The sequence below is a fragment of the Homo sapiens genome, chromosome 12 (genome assembly GCF_000001405.40).
Source record: "Homo sapiens chromosome 12, GRCh38.p14 Primary Assembly".
Classification (NCBI taxonomy): domain Eukaryota; kingdom Metazoa; phylum Chordata; class Mammalia; order Primates; family Hominidae; genus Homo; species Homo sapiens.
The window spans coordinates 8,100,092-8,122,726 of NC_000012.12; the positions used below are offsets into that span (position 1 = coordinate 8,100,092).

General features: G+C 40.6%; 1 protein-coding gene across 1 annotated transcript in view; it reads left to right on the plus strand.

Moving 5' to 3' along the window:
• The first annotated feature begins 2,815 nt into the window (after positions 1-2,815).
• Positions 2,816-22,635, plus strand: part of CLEC4A (C-type lectin domain family 4 member A) — a 35,701-nt gene continuing 15,881 nt past the window's right edge. The window contains exons 1-2 of the mRNA XM_017019382.3: positions 2,816-2,891; positions 20,817-21,015. The gene's annotated coding sequence lies outside the window, so the exon portion shown is untranslated. The remainder of the gene's footprint in view (positions 2,892-20,816; positions 21,016-22,635) is intronic.

Genomic DNA, 22,635 nt, shown 5'->3' on the forward strand with positions numbered 1-22,635 from the left:
ACTTAATAGTGGCCCCAAAGCACAAGAGTGGTGACTCTGGCATATTGTTATATTTATTCTATTTTATTATTACTTATTGTTAATCTCTTGCTGTGCCTAATTTATAAATTTAACTTTATCATAGGTGTATATATAGGAGAAAACATAATGTATATAGGGTTCAGTACCATCTGTGGTTTCAGGCATCCAAGGGGGATCTTGGAATGTATTCCCTCAGGATAAGGGGGGAATACTGTATGTATTTCAGACAAAATAGACTTTAAGTCAAAAGCTATAACAAGAGCAAGAGACACGGTCATTACATAAACGTTGAAGAGGTAAATTCTTTTTTTTTTTTCTTTGAGACAGAATCTCCCTCTTGCCCAGGCTGGAGTGCAGTGGTATGATCTCAGCTCACTGCAACCTCTGCCTCCTGGGTTCAAGTGATTCTCCTGCCTCAGCCTCCTGAAGCTGGGACTACAGGCATGTACCACCACGCCCGGCTGATTTTTGTATTTTTAGTAGAGATGGGTTTTCACCGTGTTGGCCAGGCTGGTCTTGAATTACAGACCTCAAGTGATCCACCCACCTCAGCCTCCCAAAGTGCTGGGATTACAGGTGTGAGCCATTGTGCCTGGCCCAAAGAGGTAAATTCATCAAGATGATTGGAGCATCAAAATATATAAAGCAAATAACAGATTTTTTTTAAAAGTGAAAGCAAGTTTATTAAGAAAGTAAAGGAACAAAAGAATGGCAGAACAGCCCTCTTAACAGACTTGAAGAGGGAAATAGACAGCAATAGAATACCCCACTTTCAACAATGGATAGATCAGACAGAAAATCAAAGAGGAAACATTGAACTTGAGCTGCTCTTCAGACAATATGGGCCTAAGAGACATATACACAACATTTATTCAACAGCAGCAGAATACATATGCTTCTCAAGTGCACGTGGAATGTTCTCCAGTATAAATATGTTTGGTCACAAAACAAGTCTTAACAAATTTAAGATTGAAATCATATTGAGTATCTTTTGACTATAATAGTCTGAAATTAGAAATCAATAACAGGATGAAAACCAGAACATTCACAAACATGTGGAAATTAAAAAGTTTCCTGAACAATCGATGGGTCAAAGAATCAAAAAAGAAAAAAATATCTTGAGACAAATTAAAGTGGAAACACAGCATATCAAAATTTATGGGATGCAGCAAAAGTAGTTCTAAAAGGGAAGTTTATACCTCCATTAAGAAAAAAGAAAGATCTCAAACAAGCTAATGTTACACCTACAGGAACTAGCCAAAGCCTAAAGTTAGCAGAAAGAAAGAAGTAACAGGCCAGGCACAGTGGCTCACGCCTGTAATCCCAGCACTTTGGGAAGCCGAGGCAGGTGGATCACGAGGTCAGGAGTTCGAGACGAGCCTGGCCAACATAGTGAAACCCTGTCTTTCCTAAAAATACAAAAATTAGCTGGGTGTGGTGGCACGCGCCTGTAGTCCCAGCTACTCGGGAGGCTGAGGCGGGAGAATTGCTTGAATCCAGGAGGCGGAGGTTGCACTGAGCCGAGACTGTGCCATTGCACTCCAGCCTGGGTGACAGAGTGAGACTCCATCTCAAAAAAAAAAAAAAAAAAAAGAGCAGAAATAAATGAAATTTATATGCCTTTTCTCCTACATTAAAAAGAAAGAACTAATACCAATCCTTCTCAAACTCTTCCAGAAAATTGAAGAGGAGGGAATAATTTCAAATTCATTTTACAGGGTCAGCATTACCCTGATACCAAAGCCAGATAAGGACACTACAAGAAAATTACATCCCAGTATCCCTGATAAACACAGATGCAAAATCCTCAACAAAATACTAGCCAACTGAATTTGGCTAGTATATTTAATAGAGCCTGTTAAAAGATTATACACCATGATCAAGTGGGACTTATCCCTTGGATGCAAGGATGGTTCAACACACACAAATCAAATGTGATAAACTGTCTTAACAGAATGAAGGACAAAGGCCATATCATCTCAATAGATGCAGAAAAAGCATTTAACTAAATTCAACATTCTTTTGTGATAAATACCCTACAATTTAGATATAGAAAGAACTTACTTCAACACAATAAAGGCCATATATCACAAGCCCAGAACTAACATTATTGTCCGTGGTGAAAAACTGAAAGCTTTTCCTCTAATTTAGGAAAAAGACAAGGATGCCCACTCACTACTTCTATTCAACATAGTGCTGGAAGACTTAGCCAGAGCAATCAGGCAAGAAAAAGAAATAAGAGGCATTCAAATCAGAAAGGAAGAAATAAAATTGTCTTTGTTTGCAGAAGACACTAAATGAAATAAGCCAGACGGATAAATAATGCATGATCTCACTTACAAGTGGAATCTAGAAAAAGTTAAACTCACAGAAACCCAGTAGAATCATGGTTACCCAGGCTAGGAGGTCAGGGAAGAAGGAAGATAATGGTCAAAGGGTACAAACCTTCAGCTATAAGATGAATAAGCACCGAGACCTGATGTACAGGATGGTAACTATAGTTAATAATAATGCATACCTGAAATTTGCTAAGAGAGTAGATCTCAAGTGTTCTCACCACACACACAAGTAACTACGTGAGGTAATGGATACGTTTATTAGCCTAATTGTAATCATTTCACAATGTATACATATATTAAAATATCACATTGTATATTCTAAATATATATAATTTTTATTTGTCAACCATACCTCAATAAAGCTGGAAAAAAGATATATATATGTATATGTAAAAAGTAACACATACTGCTTTCTTCAGAGATTCTGATATACCTCCCGCTTTTGCCTTCCTGTAGGAGGACTTAAGAGACTTCCTGAACTGCGTCTTTTCTTATCATTACTGAGATTTTGAGGCACTGCTATTGACAGAGGTATATCTTAGACCTTAAGTTTTTGTTTGGGAAAAAAAATGTGGACAATCAATTTTCTAGCTCAACTCCCCTTAATTATATTTGATACTACTTGTCTTGTTATAATGTGAGCCTGTATTACTCCTCACTTCCTCCATTCTGATAACCTCCTAGGCAGTCTGCTTGCCAATGGCTTTTTTAGTTCTAATTCAGCTTACATGTTAACCCCAAAGTAATGTTTGTGAAACAAAGCTCTGCTCATGTTTTTTACTCTCCTATTAATTGCCTTTAATAATTCTTCTTTGCTTATAAAGTCCAAAATATAATTTCATCTTCAACTCAGTTTTCCCATTGACTCACAATGTGCTTTAACAAACTTAAGAACTACTAGTTGTTTCTTTGTTTCTTTCTGTTGTTTTTTTTTTTTTTTTTTTTTTTTTTTTTAGACGGAGTCTCACTCTGTCGCCCAGGCTGGAGGGCAGTGGCATGATCTCGGCTCACTGCAAGCTTTGCCTCCCGGCTTCACACCGGCTTCTGCCTCAGCCTCCCGAGTAGCTGGGACTACAGGGGCACGCCACCACGCCTGGCTAATTTTTTGTATTTTTAGTAGAGACAGGGTTTCACCATGTTAGCCAGGATGGTCTTGATCTCCTGACCTCATGATCCCTCTGCCTTGGCGTCCCCAGTACTGGGATTACAGGCGTGAGCCACTGCACCCAGCCCCACTAGTTGTTTTTCATATGCCACAAGTATTGAGTGCTTGCTAAATTAAAATTTTTTCTGCCTAGAATACCTTCCCTTTTATACCTGCCTGTTGAGGTCCTTCCCATTGTGTAATGCTCGCCCAAATACTACTTCATGAAATGTTTACCTATCCTTCCAATCTGAAAGGTGATCTGTTTATTTGAGGGGGCAAGGGGTGGGGAGTGTTGCTGTTGAAATTCTCTTCCTCACTTGTTTTAAGCTCTTTGAATATAAAGACCATGTATGTCTTCATTTTTATGTACTTGCAGTACTTCCCATACACCTTTCTAGATAGTACATGCTCATGAAGTACTTGTGGAATTAACAGTGATTTCAGTGAGGAGGGACTAGAAGTTGGTAAGTTGAGTGTTTTCTGTATTTTACTCATTTTCATTTGGGTTGCTCCTGGCTACATGACTTAAGTATTCCTTATATGCTTTGCCATAGTGGCAGAAAATCTCATTTTTTTTTTTTTTTAGGTCAGTACATTTTAGAAAGGCCAGTCCATTACCTTAAATGTTTTCTAGATGAGATACACCAGTTGTGACAAATACTTGGTCTTACCTTGAATTGTAAGCCACCTCAGAATAAATTAAATTCCATTTTCCTTTTTTCATTCCAGTGCATTTTCCCCATTTTTCCTCTGTATTTAGGATGGCAAACAAGTACTTTATGCCTTGCAAATAAATTGGTTTCTGTGGTCATAATTACAAATCAAGCCATTTGGGTGCTTCTGTGCATACGAAAGCCTACGGCTGGCTTCTCCATGAATCCTAATACAGGACAGTTGATTCTCTTCAAGAAACAATCAAACCATCCCTGCCTTCTCCACCATATCTTTGATGTTTCCCTGCACCTTTTCTTTCTTTTTTTAAAAAACTTCTATTTTAGATTCAGAGGTATATATGCAGGTTTATTATATAGGTAAATTGCATGTCATGGGGGTTGGATATACAGATTATTTTGTCGCCTGGGTAATAAGCATAGTACTTGATAGGTAGTTTTTCAATCCTCTCCCTTCTCCCCCTCCCCACTCAGGGACCCAATGTCTGTTGTTCCCTTCTTTGTGTCCATATGTATGCAATGTTTAGATCTCATTCACACGTGAGAACATGTGGTATTTGGTTTCCTATTCCTGCATTAGTTCACTTAGGTTTATGGCCTCCAGCTCTATCTATGTTGCTGCCAAGGACATGTTCTTTTTCTTTTTTTATGGCTGCATAGTATTCCATAGTGTATATATACCACATTTTCTTTATCCAGTCTACCATTGATGGGCATTTAGGTTGATTCCACGACTTTGCTATTGTGAATAGTGCTTCAGTGAACATACGTATGCGGCATACATGTGTCTTTATGGTAGAATGATTTATATTCCTTTGGGTATATACCCAATAATGGGATTACTGGGTTGAATGGTAGTTCTAAGTTCTTTGAGAAATCACCACGCTACTTTCTACAATGGCTGAACTAATTTATGTTCCCACCAGCAGTGTATAAGTGTTCCCTTTTTCCTGCAGCCTCATCAACAGCTGTTATTTTGACTTTTTCATAATAGCCATTCTGACTGGTGTGAGATGGTATCTTATTGTGGTTTTGATTTGTGTTTCTCTAATGATTAGTGATGTTGAGCAATTTTTCTTTTCTTTTTTTTTTTTTTTAAGATGGAGTTTCGCTCTTGTCACCCAGGCTGGAGTGCAATGGCACGATCTCGGCTCACTGCAACCTCCACCTCCCAGGTTCAAGCAATTCTCCTGCCTCAGCCTCCCAAGTAGCTGGGACTACAGGTGTGTGCCACCACGGCTGGCTAAGTTTTTTGTATTTTTAGTAGAGACGGGGTTTCACCATCTTGGCCAGGCTGGTCTCAAACTCCCGACCTCATGATCCACCCGCCTCAGCCTCCCAAAGTACTGGGATTACAGGCATGAGCCACCGTGCCCGGCTGATGTTGAGCAATTTTTCATATGCTTGTTGGCCATGTGTCTTCTTTTGAAAAGTGCCTGTTCTTGTCCTTTGCCCACTTTTTAAAGGGTTGTTTGTTTTTTGCTTGTTAATTTGCTGTTTATAGATTCTGGATATCAGATCTTCGTCAGATGCATAGTTTACAAATATATTCTCCCATTCTGTTGGTTGTCTGTTTACTCTGTGAATAGTTTATTTTGCTGTCCAGAAGCTCTTTAGTTTAATTTGGTTTCATTTGTCAGTTTTTGTTTTTGTCATAATTGGTTTTGGCATATTCTTTATGAAATCTTTGCCCATTCCTATGTCCAGAATGATATTTCCTAGGTTATCTTTCAGGGTTTTTATAGTTTTATGTTTTATATTTAAGTCTTTAATCCCTCTTGAGTTGATTTTTGTATGCGGTATAAGGAAGGGGTCCAGTTTCAATCTTCTGCATATCGCTAGCTAGTTATCCCAGCACCATTTATTGAATAGGGAGTCCTTTCCTCATTGCTTGTTTTTGTCAACTTTGTCAAAGATAAGATGGTTGTAGGTGTGCAGCTTTATTTCTGGACTCTCTATTCTGTTACATTGGTCTATGTGTCTGTTTTTGTACCAGTACCATGCTGTTTTGGTTATTGTAGCCTTGTAGTATAGTTTGAAGTCAGGCGACACAATGCCTCCAGCTTTGTTCTTTTTGCTCAGGATTGCCCTGGCTATTTGAGCTCTTTTTTGGTTCCATATGAATTTTAGAATAGTTTTAAAAAAATTCTGTGAAGAATGTCATTGGTAGTTTGATAGGAATAGCATCAAATCTATAAATTGCTTTGGGCAGTATGGCCATTTTAACAATATTGATTCTTCTTATCCATGAGCATGGAATATTTTTCCATTTGCTTGTGTCATCTCTGATTTCTTTGAGCAGTGTTTTGTAATACTTGCTGTAGAGATCTTTTACCTCCCTGGTTAGCTGTATTCCGAGGTATTTTATTTTATGATTATTTTTTGTGGCATTTTGAATGGAATTACATTTTTGATTTGCCTCTCAGCTTGGACGTTGGATTTTTGTACACTGATTTTCTATCTTGAAACTTTACTGAAGTTGTTTATCAGATCTAGAAGCTTTTGGGCAGAGACTGTGGGTTTTCTAGGTATAGAATCATCTCATCTGCAAACAGATGATTTGATTTCCTCTGTTACTATTTGGATACCTTTTATTTCTTTCTCTCGCCTGATTGTCCTGCCTAGAACTTCCAGTACTATGTTGCATAGGAATGGTGAGAGTAGGTATCCGTGTCTTGTTCCAGTTCTCAAGGAGAATGCTTCCAGCTTTTGCCCATTCAGTATGATGTTGGCTGTGGGTCTGTCATAGATGGTTCTTATTATTTTGTGGTATATTCCTTCAATGCCTAGTGTGTTGAGGGTTTTTAACATGAAGAGATGTTGAATTTTATCAAAAGCCTTTTTTTGCATCTATTTAGATGATTGTGTGGCTTTTGTTTTTAGTTTTCTTTATGTGGTGAATTACATTCATGGATTTGTGTATGTTGAACCAACCTTGCATCCCAGAGATAAAGCCTGCTTGATAATGGTGGATTAACTTTTTGATGTGCTACTGGATTTGGTTTGCTTGTATTTTGTTGATGATTTTTGCATCTATGCTCATCAAGGATATTGACCTGGTTTCCTTTTTTATTCTGTCTCTGCCAGGTTTTGGAATCAGGATGATACTGGCTTCAGAGAATCAGTTAGCGATGAGTCCTTCCTCCTCAAATTTTTGGAACAGTTTCAGTAGGAATAGTTCAGCAGGAACCTCTTCTTTATACATCCAGTAGAATTTGGCTGTGAATCCACCTGGTCCTGGGCCTTTTCTGGTTGGTAGGCTTTTTATTACTGATTCAGTTTCAGAACTTGTTATTGATCTGTTCAGGGATTCAATTTCTTCCTGGGTCAATCTTGGGAGGTTGCATGTTTCCAAGAATTTGTCCATTTCTAGTTTTTCTAGGTTTTCTAGTTTGTGTGCATAGAGGTGTTCATAATAGTCTCTGAGGGTTTTTTGTATTTCTGTGGGGCCAATGGTAATGCCCTTTTTGTCATTCTGATTGTATTTATATCGATCTTCTGCTTTTTTTTTTTTTCCTTTATTAGTCTAGCTAGTGGTCTATTAATCTTTGTTGTTTTAAAAAACAAACTGTGGGATTTCTTGATCTTTTGTATGGCTTTTTGCTACTCAGTTTCTTCAGTTCAGCTCTGATTTTGGTTATTTCTTGATTTCTGTTAGCTTTGGGATTGGTTTGCTCTTGTTTCTCTAGTTCCTCTAGGAGTGGTGTTAGGTTGTTAATTTGAGATCTTTCTAACCTTTTGATGTGGGCATGTAGCACTATAAATTTCCCTCTTAACAACTGCTTTAGCTGTGTCCCAGAGATTCTGGTATATTGTATATTTCTCATTAGTTTCAAAGAATTTCTTGATTTCCACCTTAATTTTATTGTTTACCCAAAAGTCACTCAGGAGCAGGTTGTTTAATTTCCATGCAATTGTATGGTTTTGAGTGAAGAAAATCTCATTTTTGTGCTTCAGAGCCAGTCAATATGAGAGAACCAAGTAAGTAGTAATGAAGACAGATTTTACTTTGGTATATAGACTTTTTGGCCTGGGGATGGAACACCAGGTACCATGTAGTAGAGTTGCTGATACATTTGGTAGTTTACCGTCTCATTTTAATTATAAGTGGCTAAAATTGCATTGCACTTTGCTCATGTTTTAGTTTTTTTGTAGCCTTTTCAAAAACCATTTTTTAAATTGCCTCTGAATTGTACATGAAGGAAATACATATGTGACTATAGGACTAATGTTCAGGAGTTCTCCATCAATCACATATTCTCCATCAGTCACATATTCAAAGGAAGGAAAGAGGGAGAATTTTATTTACTTGTGGGTCCTTAGCCTGGGTTTATATAGATGGTTTTCACAGCATTTTTATGGTTTGACATTTATTTCAAAATTTTGCTAGAACTGTCATCTTCAGTTTCCTTTTCAAAGACCTACAATACAGGGTGGTATATTTTCAAAAAAGCTCTGGTATACTTAAATTGCCTGCATCTGAGCCAGTAGTGAAATAATTGTCCATTGTGACTTCATGTTCTGCCCCATCAATCTAAGGATAACATCATCCCCTCAATTAAACAAAATAATGCATTAAGACCCACTATGGATTTTTTGACTTGCTTTTCAACATTTTCTTTGTTCCTACTATTTGTATTCTGCCAACGTACCTATTATTGGAAAAAAAAGTCATTGAAGCACTTTGTGTCAGTGCTGCATCTGGCTGCATATTAGCATGCGACCACTAGAGGGCATGCTCCTCCTAGCAACTGAAATAGTTGTAGGAATTTGCTCAGACTCCTGGTGGCAGGGGAAGCATTTGTTTTTTATTTTTTATTTTCTTTTTCAACAATCTAAGATAGGACGAGAACAGGGGAAGCATTTAAAAAGAAAGAAATGAAGACTGGATGGGGGCATTTAGTCTGGTCTAAGCCTGTAACTGATCCAAAGTTTGTTGAGAATGTAGAAAAATAGCTGTTTGGGCAGGCAGAAAATGAAGTACCAAATGATCCCTTCTTCATACTTTAATACTTTAATAAATACTTGAATGGGGAATATACTTAATTTTAATGACACCCCCTCCTCCTAGCTCCACCCATAATAGAGGATTAATGGGCAGTAAAGAGTAGTGGTCAGGAACATGGATTTGGGAGAAGACAGACTACTTTGCTACAAAATTTGTCTCTGCCACTTACTGGCTTTTTGACCTTGGAAAAATTAGTTAAACTTTGTTTGCCTCAGTTTCCTCATATACGAAATTAAAATAGTACCTATGGAATATTGTGACTTTAAAACAAATTTTAAAATTAAATTGCTTAGCTGGCCATGGTGGCTCACTTCTGTAATGCCAGTGCTTTAGGAGCCTACGGTGGGAGAATCGCTTGAGCCCAGGATTTTGAGGTTACAGTGAGCTATGATGGTGCCACTGTACTCCAGCTTGGGGTGACAGAGTGAGACACTGTCTCTAAAAAATATATAAAGTAATTGAAGTCCCTAGAACAGGGCCTGGAATATGGTAAGTGCCGTTTAAATATTTGTTGCTGGTACTAGTACTGCTTCTAATTCTGGCTCTCCAGGTGTGTAATGGGATGGTGTAAGGGCGAAATGACAGGAGTTCTTTTTTTATTGTCTTAGAAGTGAGGTAGATGCCCCAAGATTGGGGCAGGAAGTAGGAAGAGTCATCTGATAGAGGAGAAACGGGGAGTAAGGGATGACAGGGAGACATGCTTCTGAAACATATTTCAGACTGATTCCATAGTAAGGATTTAAATTCTTATTCTGTCTTTGTAATCCTGCTCAACCCCTTTTATAGCTTTTATAGTATATACCTTTTCACATAAGTAAGAAACCCCAAACCAACTGTCTTCTTATCCTGTATTTTTTGAGCACCGATCATTTGCTAGGGGAAGTGCTTTATAAAGATTGTCTCACTCAATCTTCACACAAACCCCTGGGATTCTTACTTCTGGGATTTCTTAATTCTTACCCTCTGGGGTGAAATATGGTTATCCATATTTCACAGGCGAGGACACAGAGGCATAGAGAGGTTAAAAAAAACTTTACTAATTTGTACCTAAAGTGACAACATGCTAGTGTCAAAGATAATAATTAATGAATTGATTGTGGCCTACCTCTGTACCTTCATTTTATAAAAAGGAAACCTCCATATTTGTGTTAATATTCCAGCCAGACCGATCTAATTATATGCTGCACTATTTCATACTACAGTGCCTTTACGTCCTTTGGTCTTTCTGCCTCAAATACTTTTTTCCCAAGTTCCTGTTCATCCACTACAGAACCTTTCCTCATAAGCTCAAGCAGAAACCATCTCTTCTTTCTCTTTTGTGCCACCACTGCACAGTGTATAACGGGGTCTTGTGCTTCTCCCATTGTATTGAAATTATTTATTTACATGCTTCTCTATTAGACATCAGGTTTTTAAATTAGGAATCATGTCCCTTCCTTCCCCCATCCCCTAACTCCTAATACAGTGTTTGTCACATGATAAAGACATGATAAAGTATATGGAACAGTGTGAGTGCCCCCCTTGCTTGCCCTTTTCTCTCCTCAGTCCCTTCTGCAAAGTAAACCATTGTCAATAATTTTGTGTGCATCTTTCTAGACACTTTTTTTTTTTTTTGAGACGGAGTCTCGCTCTGTCGCCCAGGCTGGAGTGCAGTGGTGTGATCTCCGCTCACTACAAGCTCCGTCTCCCAGGTTCACACCATTCTCCTGCCTCAGCCTCCCGAGTAGCTGGGACTACAGGTGCCCACCACCATGCCTGGCTAATTTTTTGTATTTTTAGTATAGATGGGGTTTCACTGTGTTAGCCAGGATGGTCTCTATCTCCTGACCTTGTGATCCACTGCCTCAGCCTCCCAAAGGGCTGGGATTACAGGTGTGAGCCACCGCGCCTGGCCCAACATCTTTTTTTTTTTTTTTTTTTTGAGACAGACTCTGGCTCTGTTGCCCACACTGGAGTGCAGTGGCTGATCTCAGCTCACTGCAACCTCTGCCTCCCAGGTTCAAGCAATTCTCCTGCCTCAGCCTGCCAAATAGCTGGGATTACAGGCGTGCACCACCACCTCCGGCTAATTTTTGTATTTTTAGTGGACACAGGGTTTCACCATGTTGGCCAGGCTGGCCTTGAACTCCTGACCTCAGATGGTCCACCTGCCTCAGCCTCCCAAAGTGCTGGGATTACAGGTGTGAGCCACTGCACCTGGCCTTCTAGACATTTTTTAAAGCATTCTCTCTCTGTGTGTATCTGCCTATGCAAAGATCCTTTAATAAAATAAAAATTACATGTAAATTGTTTATATTATTTTTTAAAAAATTAATAATGTTCTGAAGTTCTTTCTTTGCCTATGCATTTGTATTTGCTTATGTTTAGTTTATGTTTAGAGCTATTCAGGTTCTCTAAAGTATGGATGTACCGTAATATATTTAACCACTGTCCTTGTTGATAGTAACATTTCTGACATTTTTGACACTAAATTTTACACTGAACATCTTTTACATATAATATATACTTAAATGAAAAATTTAAAGGATAGATTCCCCAGAAATGGACTTGGTGGGTGAAATGCGATTAATTAAAATTTAAAAAACTTCAACTTTTTTTTTTAGACTCAGGGGGTACATGTGCAGGTTTGTTATGTGAGTGTGTATATGTGTGTGTGTGTGTGTGTGTGTGTGTGTGTGTGTGTGTGTATTTTATTTATTTATTTTTTTTAGACAGAGCTTTGCTCTTGTTGCCCAGGCTGGAGTGCAATGGTGCAATCTCTGCTCACCTCAGTCTCCGCCTCCTGGGTTCAAGCAATTCTCCTGCCTCAGCCTCCTGAGTAGCTGGGATTACAGGCATGCACCACCATGCCCGTCTAATTTTGTATTTTTAGTAGCGATGGGGTTTCTCCATGTTGGTCAGGCTGGTCTCAAACTCTTGACCTCAGGTGATCCGCCCAGCTTGGCCTCCCAAAGTGCTGGGATTACAGGCATGAGCTACCGCACCTGGCCTACGTGGGTATATTGCGTGATGCTGAAGTTTGGGATATGACTGATCCCATCACTCAGGTAGTGAGCATAGTATCCAGTAATGTGTCAACCCTTGTCTCCCTTCCTCCCTCCCCCAACATTTAAAATTTTGATAGATTTATTTCTATATTATCTTCTGCCTAATTCATATACTTAATATAAATTCTGAGGCTGTTTGTTTCTCTATTTTGTCAACAGTTTATTTTTAAAATATTTAGTTAATATATTGGGTGAAAAATATATTCATTTCTCTTACTACAGTGAGATTGTGCTCTTTTCATATATTTATTTACTATCTTTTTTTTTCATGTGTTGTCATGTGTTTAAGTTTTAGTTGTGAGTTTGTCTTTAGTGTGTTTTCCTTATGGGCAATCCTGTTCTACCTCAGTTGTGGGAGTATTTCTTTGGAGTGGTTTTGCATTTGCCTTTTCTAAGTCCTCAGGGTTATTATCAGATTGAGACCTAATTTTAAGTTAAATTCCTGGCTCAGAGTCTCCTTTATATCCTAAGTCATATAAGTTTGTACTCCAAAATTACATATATCATAGATAATATAAGTTGGTACTCCAAACTTACATACACAGAGGCCTGGGATTTTCCCTTCCACTTTTTATCATGAATATTTTCAAAAGAAGTTGAATGAATAATACAGTTAATAACCATATATCCATTGTCCATTTTTTTTTATTTTATTATTATACTTTAAGTTTTAGGGTACATGTGCACAACGTGCAGGTTTGTTACATATGTATACATGTGACATGTTGGTGTGCTGCACCCATTAACTCGTCATTTACATTAGGTATATCTCCTAATGCTATCCCTCCCCCCTCCCCCCACCCCACAACAGTCCCCAGTGTGTGATGTTCCCCTTTCTGTGTCCATGTGTTATCATTGTTCAATTCCCACCTGTGAGTGAGAACATGCGGTGTTTGGTTTTTTGTCCTTGCGATAGTTTGCTGAGAATGATGGTTACCAGTTTCATCCATGTCCCTACAAAGGACATGAACTCATCATTTTTTATGGCTGCATAGTATTCCATGGTGTATATGTGCCACATTTTCTTAATCCAGTCTGTCGTTGTTGGTCCATTGTCCATATTTAACAATTGTTGACATTTTGACAAATTTGGCTTTCTGCTTAGGTGATTGGTTTTTGTTTTAGTGTTGAGTTGTACAGTCTTTAAATTCAGAAAACGTTCTAGGGAGAAATTAGCAATGTACTTGAAGTCTCCTTAAAGCTCTACCAAAAGCTCCAATGGCTTTTTTGTCCCTTAGCAGCAGCCATCTGCAGGTACAAAGACCAGATTCTCAGCCTCCTGCCCATGCTCAGAATTAGCAAACCTCAGAATAAAGCAGTTGTAGCAATCTGCTCACCTTTCAGATTTCTCTCTTCTTGGATCTTATTGTCGTCTCACCCCCTACCCAGGTTCTTATTGCCTAACAGGAATGAGAGACTAGAAGAGTTAAATGGGGAAGAGGGAAAGCTAATACAAGGGTGCATTATTAAGTTGGTTACTGCTTTGGGCAACTGAGACTCCATTCTTCTGGAGCTCTGAGGAGCTGTGTAGAATGCACCTTAAAATTGTGTCCCCAAGTGATAAAAGAGGGGACAATTTATCCACTAGCTTCCTTCCATCATTGGATCAGGGTTTCCTCATGGTGTGTTGGCACCTGCACAGTTTCAGGTTTGTTCTGTACAGGGGGCATTCGTACTTGTAATGTCAGAGGATCCCTGGGACGGAAAGCAAGAGATTCATGGTTGGCTGAGGCAAGGTGTTATCAGGTTGCACTTGCCCGAGGCTGGTTTCTGTAGCAAGAGCTGAAGTAAAAGGTGAAGATATGATACCTACAAAAGAGGAGTCCATACGGTGCTCAAATTGCCCTAAAATTGGCTAGTAGCCTTCAAGCTAATTTGTTGCTTTTTGACGTACTTGCATTAATGTTTGAGCAATTCCTTTATTTCTTTTTTTTTTCTGAGATGGAGTCTTGCTCTGTCGCCCAGGCTGGAGTGCAGTGGCGTGATCTCGGCTCACTGCAAGCTCTGCCTCCCGGGTTCACGCCATTCTCCTGCCTCAGCCTCCCGAGTAGCTGGGACCACAGGCGCCCGCCACCACGCCCGGCTAATTTTTTGTAGTTTTAGTAGAGACGGGGTTTCACCGTGTTAGCCAGGATGGTCTCAATCTCCTGACCTCGTGATCCACCCGCCTCAGCCTCCCAAAGTGCTGGGATTACAGGCGTGAGCCACCGCGCCCGGCCAATTCCTTTATTTCTGATGGAACAAAATATTGTAGACTCACCTTGTACTTTCCTACGAATTTTTCTTTTTTCACCCAAAGCCCAGGGAGAGGTATTACTGCTGAACTCTTTCTAGTTTACCTTTTGCTTAATTTACAGTTTTGCAAAAATTATGAATTATATGGAAGTCTCAATTCCAGCTCCCTGCTTAGTGCTTGTCCAAGGCTTTGTTTCCTCATTTTTTTGTGTATTTAAATCCAAACCCTTAGCCATTACTGCATCTAATGATTTTCTACTCCAGTTAGATGACTCTCAGCTCATGAAGGTTACCTCAAGTTGCATCTTTACCTGTTGTCCCATGTTGCTATATTCTGATTCACTGAGGACCCAATAGCATTTCTCAAGAATAGACCAATTACTCGCTGAGAGGGAATGATTTCCTCTGAACTATCCTACTGGCCTCCTTTGAATTCTCCTACCAATCTCCAGGTTGGTTTGCTTTAGGCTCCAATCTGCATGGATTTGCCAAAGAGGGTTCAAGCACCGCTAGTTTATTAGGGCTAAGTGCAGACTGTCTGTCTACCTGTGGCCTGGACCACCTGAACAGCCTTTTCAGTATGTCACCAAATCCTGGAAGCTTTTCGATTTTCTGGCAAATATGTTTGAACACCCAAATGTGAAATATATTGCCTTAAAAATCCAAAGAGGCCTATGAATCCTGCCTTTCAAAATGGCACATTATTTGATATTTTGGAGGGGATATTTAAGTGCCCCAGACATCAATCAGAATCAACTGAAGGGCTGGTTAAAACACCAATTTTTGGGCCCCATTCTCAAAATTATGGATTTAGTACATCTAAGGTGGAGCCTAAGAATATGCATTTCTAACAAGTTCCCAGGTGATGTTGTTGGTTTAGGACCACACTGAGAACCACTGCCTGATAGACCAGGACTTCAATGGCATGAGGCTTACCAAGGCATCTAGGGTACTGTATTGTCCTGCTTTCCTTGTAGCATCTGTAGGATATCATCAATGGAGTGAACCAGCAGGATATCTTGTAAAACGGTGAGATGTTTAAGTTTTCTGCAGGGTAAATGGTAGGCCAGATTGAAAGAGTTATATAGATCTGAAGAGTTATATAGGTCTGAAGATGATGAAGGTATATTGTTTCTGCCAGGAGAAAAGCAATTTGATGATGATTTTTTTGCTTATTTATTAACTGGAAGAAATAATATCCACCAGATAATATACATATATGTCATATATATATATTTAATTTTTTCTAGACAGAGTCTTGCCCTGTTGTCCAGGCTGGAGTGCAGTGACACGATCACAACTCACTGCAGCCTCAACCTCCTGGGCTCAAGTGATCCTCCCACCTCAGCCTCCTAAGAAGCTGGGACTATAGGTGTGTGCTACCATGCCTGGCTAATTTTTAATCTATATATATATTTTTTGAGACAGGGTCTCACTCTGTCACCCAGACCGGAGTGCAGGTGTGATCTCGGCTTACCACAACCTCTGCCTCCCAGGCTCAAGCGATTCTTCTGCCTCAGCCTCCCAAGTAGCTGGGATTACAGGTGTGCACCACTACTGCCTGGCTAATTTTTGTATTTTTAGTAGAGACAGGATTTCACCATGTTGGACAGGCTGGTCTTGAACTCCTGACCTCAAATGACCCACCTGTCTCGGCCTCCCAGAGTGCTAGGATTACAGGTGTGAGCCACCGCACCCGGTCTAATTTTTATTTTTTATTTTTGTAGAAGTGGGGTTTCACTATGTTGCCCAGGCTGGTCTCAAAGATCTGGACTCAAGCGATCCTTCTGCCTTGGCTTCCCAAAGTGTGAGGATTTCAGGCGTGAGTCATCGTACCTGGCCGTTAATAGGTATACATTAAGGGCCGAGTACTGTATTGACTTGCTCTAGACCTCGCATTTGGAAAGCAGCTAAAATTGGAGTCACCTCCTGATTAAATGTATGATCATCTACTCCCATTGTTTATGACCCATCTGTATTGGCAAGATGAGTGATTTAAATCAAGAATATAATAGGAATTGCTTATGCTTCAGTTTTGAATCCTTTGCTAGTGGTACTAATCTTTGTGATTTCATTATAGATGCTTTACTGCTTTTGATTTTATTTTGCTAGGAAGGGGAAGTTCAGGAGCTTCAATTTGGTTTTCCATCATAATGGACCTTACTTCACAGGTCAGGGAGACAGTGTGGGGATTCTGGACAACAGGAATTTGGGAAATAACCGGAGGGTGACTTCAGGCTCTCACTATACCTGCTGCTTTTGTGGGGATAGGAAACTTCTTGGACTTGGAGTGTTTGTGATGCTTTGGGCAATATATGGGTATCCTCCATATATTTCTTTATCAGTTCTTGAGATCACATTTTATCACAATCAAGCCTCTCGTTTTCACTTAGGAGACATAGCAAAGCTTGAATTCAACTGGATTTGCAATTTTTAACCATCGAGTCCAACTAAAACTTTGGCTTTTGGTCTCTTCAGCCTGCAGCTACAAGCAATAAAGAATTCTTTTAATATAGTTATAGAAATTCTAGTTTTCAGTTTTTTCCTTGGGTCAAGAATTTAGGATATATTGAGTTTGTTACTCTCTTCCTTTGGGTTATCCAGTGCCATAAGAAGCAACTATTCTACTCTACACTTCTTAAATTCTTTCCCTTGGGGTTGCTTGGGCTCTTCTTTTTTTTTTTGTTTTTGTTTTTTTTGAAGTGGAATCTCTCTGTTGCGCAGGCTGGAGTGCAGTGGCACGATCTCGGCTCACTGCAACCTCTGCCTCCTGGGTTCAAGTGATTCTCCTGCTTCAGCCTCTTGAGTAACTGGGATTACAGGTGCTCATCACCACACCTGGCTAATTTTTGTATTTTTAGTAGAGATGGGATTTCACCAAGTTAGCCATGCTGGTCTCAAATTCCTGACCTCAGGTGATCCACCTGCCTTGGCCTCCCAAGGTGCTGGGATTACAGGTGTGAGCCACCGCACCCAGCCTGCTTGGGCTCTTAAAGGCTTGTCTCCAATGGGAACTTTTTTTTTAGGTGACAATGTGTTTCAATTTGCCTATTTTGTCATTGCATGGCAAGGACTACCAAGTCCCATCTGTTAATACTAGTCGTGCTTTCTCTTTTCTCAGCTTCAACCAGATTGGATAATAAATCTCAAGTTTCCTCTATTTCACTTCTATAGCTTTCAAGTATTTATGGTACAATTTCTGAAAGCAAATGCCTGGATTTGCAGCTGTTGTAGAATATGAAGAGCTCTGTTTCATAAAGTGGGAATATTCTTCAAACATAAGGAGAATTAGATGCCAAAAAGAATGACAACCATTACTTGCGTAAACCAAAAAGTGACTGAGGCAGGTCTCAATTGATTTACAGGTTTATTTTGCCAAGGTTGAGGGCATGCCCAGGAACAAAACACAAATCACAGGAGCATCTGTGATTGGTGCTTTTTCCAAAGAAGGTTTTGAGGACCTCAGTATTTTAAGGGAAAAGAGCAAGCAGGAGGGGAAGGAGGAAAGGGGAAAAAAAAAGGCAAGGGAGAGTAGACAAGGAGGCAAGTGGTTACTTTCTTGTGAGGCTCTGGTTAGCACTCAATGAATCTACATTTTACATGTGAAAAGTGGGGGTAAAAGAAAAGTCATTTATGCATTCATCTGGGAGTAGACAGAGGGATGATTTCTGGTCTTGTTCTTGTCTTCTACCTGTGAAGATAAGCTAATAATTTACATTGTCAGGTTGAGATTCAACATACAATGGAATATTATTTGTCCATAAAAAAGAATGAATTACTGATTGCTGTGGTTTAAATGTGTCCCTCTCTGTATTAGTCTATTCTTGCACTGCTATAAAAAAAAAAAAAACCTGAGACTAGGTAATTCATAAAGAAAAAGAGCTTTAATTGGCTTACAGTTCTGCAGGCTATACAGGAAGCATAGCAGCTTCTGCTTTTTGAGGACACTTCAGGAAGCTTCCAATCATGGTGGAAGGCAAAGTGGGAGCAAGGCACTTCACACGACCAGAGCAGGAGGAAGAGAGAGAGGGGTGAGGTGCCACACACTTTTAAGCAACCAGATCTCACGAGAACTCACTATGGCGAGGACACTACCAAGGGGGAAATCTACCCCCATGATCCAGTCACCTCCTACCAGGCCCACCTCCAACACTGAGGATTATAATTTGATGTGAGATTTGGTGGGCACACAGATCCAAACCACATCATCATCCAAAACCCAGGTATTGCCAGTGTGATGATATTAAGAGGTGGGCCCTTTTAGAGGTGGTTAGGCCATGAGGGCTTTGTGGATGGAATTAAGGCTCCTATAAAAAAGGCATCATGCATTGCTGGTCTATCTCTTGCCCATCTGCCTTCTGCCATGTGAAGACATGGAGTTCCTCCCCTTAGAAGATACAATCATCACCAGATAACTGAATATGCTGGTGCCTTGATCTTGGGCTTCCCAACCTCCAGAACTGAGAAAATAAATTTCTCTTCTTTATAAATTACCCAGTCTCAGGTATTTTGTTGTTAACAACACTAATGGACTGAGAAACTGATATGAGCTATAACATGGATGAACCTCAAAAACACTAAGCTAATACCAGCTGAATTAGCTAGCCTTGCTGCAAAAATGGTCTTAGTCTCATCTTTGGTGAAAATAAGATAGATTTTTTATTTGTTTGCTTTTGTTTTCTGAGACAGAGCTTCGCTACTGTTGCCCAGGCTGGAGTGCAATGGTGCGATCTCAGTTCACTGCAACTTCTGCCTCCCAGGTTCAAGTGGTTCTCCTGCCTCAGCCTCCCTAGTGTCTGGGCTTATAGGCATGCACCACCACGCCTGGCTAATTTTGTATTTTTAGTAGTGATGGGGTTTCACCATGTTGGTCAGGCTGGTCTCGATCCCCTGACCTTAGGTGATCCACCCGCCTTGGCCTCCCAAAGTGCTGGGATTACAGGCATGAGCTACCATGCCTAGCCTGTGTCTTTTTATTATGAAAGAAATACATGCTTATAAAATATCAAACAGTAAAAAATCTTTAAAAATAAAAGTGCCCTATTTACTCCATCCTTACTTCTAAATACTGAGATTAATTTCACAGTGAACAGAATGGTCACTTGCCATCATATCAATATAAATAGTCTAACGAATATCTTGTTTTCATGAAATTAACAATACTGAGCTATTAAATTGACTTCTGATATCAACTACCTGGACTTAGGCCAAATTTCACAGGTTGAGGGCACGCCCTTCATAAGACTGCCATTACTTCAGATACCAGCCACAAGTTCAGGGGTTCCCAGGGGTGTCCTCACTCCTGATCAACTGACTACAAATTTGGGGTTTCCCATGATCCCTTCAGGTTTTATGATTTATTAGAATGACTCACTGAACTCAGGATAGTGCCATGCTTATGATTGCAGTTTTATTATAGCAAAAGGATACAAATCAGAACCAGCCAGAGGGAGAGATGCATGGGGTAAGGACTGAGAGGGTCCTAAATGGAAATTTCCATTGACCCCATTGATATATCACTTTCTTAGAACTTTAATGTGTGATAATACACAGAGTATTGCCAATCAGGGGAGCTTCAGTGCCCAGAGTTTTTACTGGGGTCCATTATGTAGGCATGATTGATTGAACCATTGGTCACAAGTTGAACTCAGTCTCTAGCTTCCCTTCCCCACCTGGGCTGATATAACATGGCTCAGGGCTTCAATGCGCCAATCACATGACTGGTCTTTCCGGCATGGCCAGCCCCACCCTGAATCACCTTCTTAGCATAAACTATCTTAGAGCCCATCATGAGAGACCTCATTAGCATGAGATATACGGGCCCACCATGAATAACAAAGACAATCCTATTATTTGGAAAATTCCAAGGATTTAAAGGCTACCTCCAGGAAGTGGGAACAAAATCCAGGCAAATTCTTTATTACCTAGGTTAACTGCAACATGATGCAATATTCAGAGAGTGAACGAACAAGTGAAGGCACACTGTCAGCCTCTCAGAGTTGTGGAACTTCCAGTCTTCCCTCATAATAGGTACCATACCACACATGACATGCAATCAATACTAGTAAAGCTTATCTTCCTTAAAACTTTAAATAAATGTAAATAGATGTTTTAGTGTTTTTTTCTCTGTGCCTTAGCAGATCCTCTTTTATACTGCCTAAGGTACTTGTGCCCCATTTTGGAGATCACTGCCCAAGAGATCTCTTGGATAAATAATTTAAAGGGATAAGGGGATAGATTCTATTATTGTTTCCAAATGTCTGTGTTCTCCTTTGTGAAAGGATTAAACTTTGATACCCTTGACATGTCTTTCTGTAGACAAAGTATATTTCCCTGTCTCACTTGCAGGTTTGTTCAGGTAACTTGCATTGGCCAACAGAATCAGAGCAAATACAACGTACACCTTATCTGAATAAAGGATGCTACTACATGGTTCAGCTTACAAGGAGCTATTCTGTGATCTCAGCTTCCAGAATGAGAAAACACTTGGAGAGGGGCCAAGCAGAGTTGCAGTCAACTCCAAGGTGGCCCTAAGCACAAGTGTAATGTAAGTGAGAAATACATGTTTGTTGTTGTAAGCCACTTGGATTTTGGGGTTGTTGGTGATACGGTGTAATCCAGTTATAATGTGACTTATTCCAGGGAGAGAGCTATAGTTTTAGGAATATGGTTTGCTTTCTAATTATGAGCTTAGATTGTAAAGACTCTGAGAATCAATGATTGTTATTTCAGGGAATATGTGTGCATGTATACCTGTCTACGTGCATGTGCTGGTTAGGCCCAATCATTAATTTGTGGAGAACTTAAAATTCCCTTATCCTTCCCTTATGCTTTGTCATTCCCCTTTCCCTTTTCTTACTAAATAATTTGATTCTAAATAAAGCAGTAGCAAGATAGGTGTCTATGGTGAGGTGGCTGGGAGAGCAGCAGTGGCCTGGCACAGGGGGAGAGCTTTAGCAGGGTGAGAAGGGTGACTATGCAGGGTATTGGCTTGACAGTGGTTCTGGAGCCCAAGCAGAGTGAGAAGAACATCCCTTAGGGGTGGGAAAGTGTCCTGGCATGGGGAACCAGAGCGAGGAGATGTCCACTCCTGGCAATGGCCCAGTGCAGGGTGTCAGAGGATAAGATTGAGGAGGGTGTCCATAGTAGGGGTAGCCTGATGTGAGAGGTCAGAGTCTGAGAGGTAAAGAAGGCATCTATGTGGTGGGATAGTCAGGTGCAGTGAGTTGGAGTGCAAGCAGGGTGAGGAGGGCATCCATGTATGAGGTTACCTTCTATAGGGAGTCAGAGTCGCAAATGGCTGAGCAGAGTACTCTAGGGCCAGCCTGGTATGTATGTCAGCATGTGGGAGAGGTGAGGAGGGCACCCATGCCTAGTGTTGGCCCAGTTGGGGTTGGGACTCAGCACTTAAGCAGGATGAGGAGAGAGAGCATCCTTGCAGAGGGTAGACCTGGTGTGGTTTCAGAGACCAAGCATGATAAGGAGGGTGTCCATGTGGTGGGGTAGCCCAGTGAGGGAACTCAGATCCTAAGTAGGGTAAGATGGACATTATTGCTGGGGGATGGAGGACCTGCATGGAGTGTCAGAGCCCAAGCAGGATGAAGAAAGCTTCTATGCAGAGGGAGGACTTGGTGTGGGTTTCAGAAACTTAGCAGGATAAGGAGGTGGTCCATGTGGTAGGATAGCCCGGTGAGGAAATCAGACCCCTCCAGGGTGAGGAGGGCTTCCACCCATAGGGTGACCTTGTGTGGAGCATTAGAACCTAAGGGGGTCTAAGTGGTGACTAGGGGACCAGCATCAGGAATCAGAGTGCAAGCAGAGTGAGGAGGGCTTTCCTGCAGAGGAATGGCCTAGCACAGGGAGTCAGAGCCTTGGCAGGGTGAGGGGGATGTTTGTTGGGGGATGTTCATGGGGGTGGGGAGTGGGCTGGCCCTTTGCCGGCACTCTCAGAGTGAGGAGGGAGGGCATCCGCGCAGGGGATGGTGGCTTGGACTGGGGAGTCAGAGCCCAACTAGGAAGAGAGGGACATCTTAGCAGGTGGGAGATTGACGACATCCAGGAGATTGATCAAATAAGGAATAAGTGAAAGACAATGAAAGCAGGTTTCTTAGTGTCACAGAAAGGAGTTAGGAATGTGGGAAGGGAGAAAACTAGAATGAAACTTGTG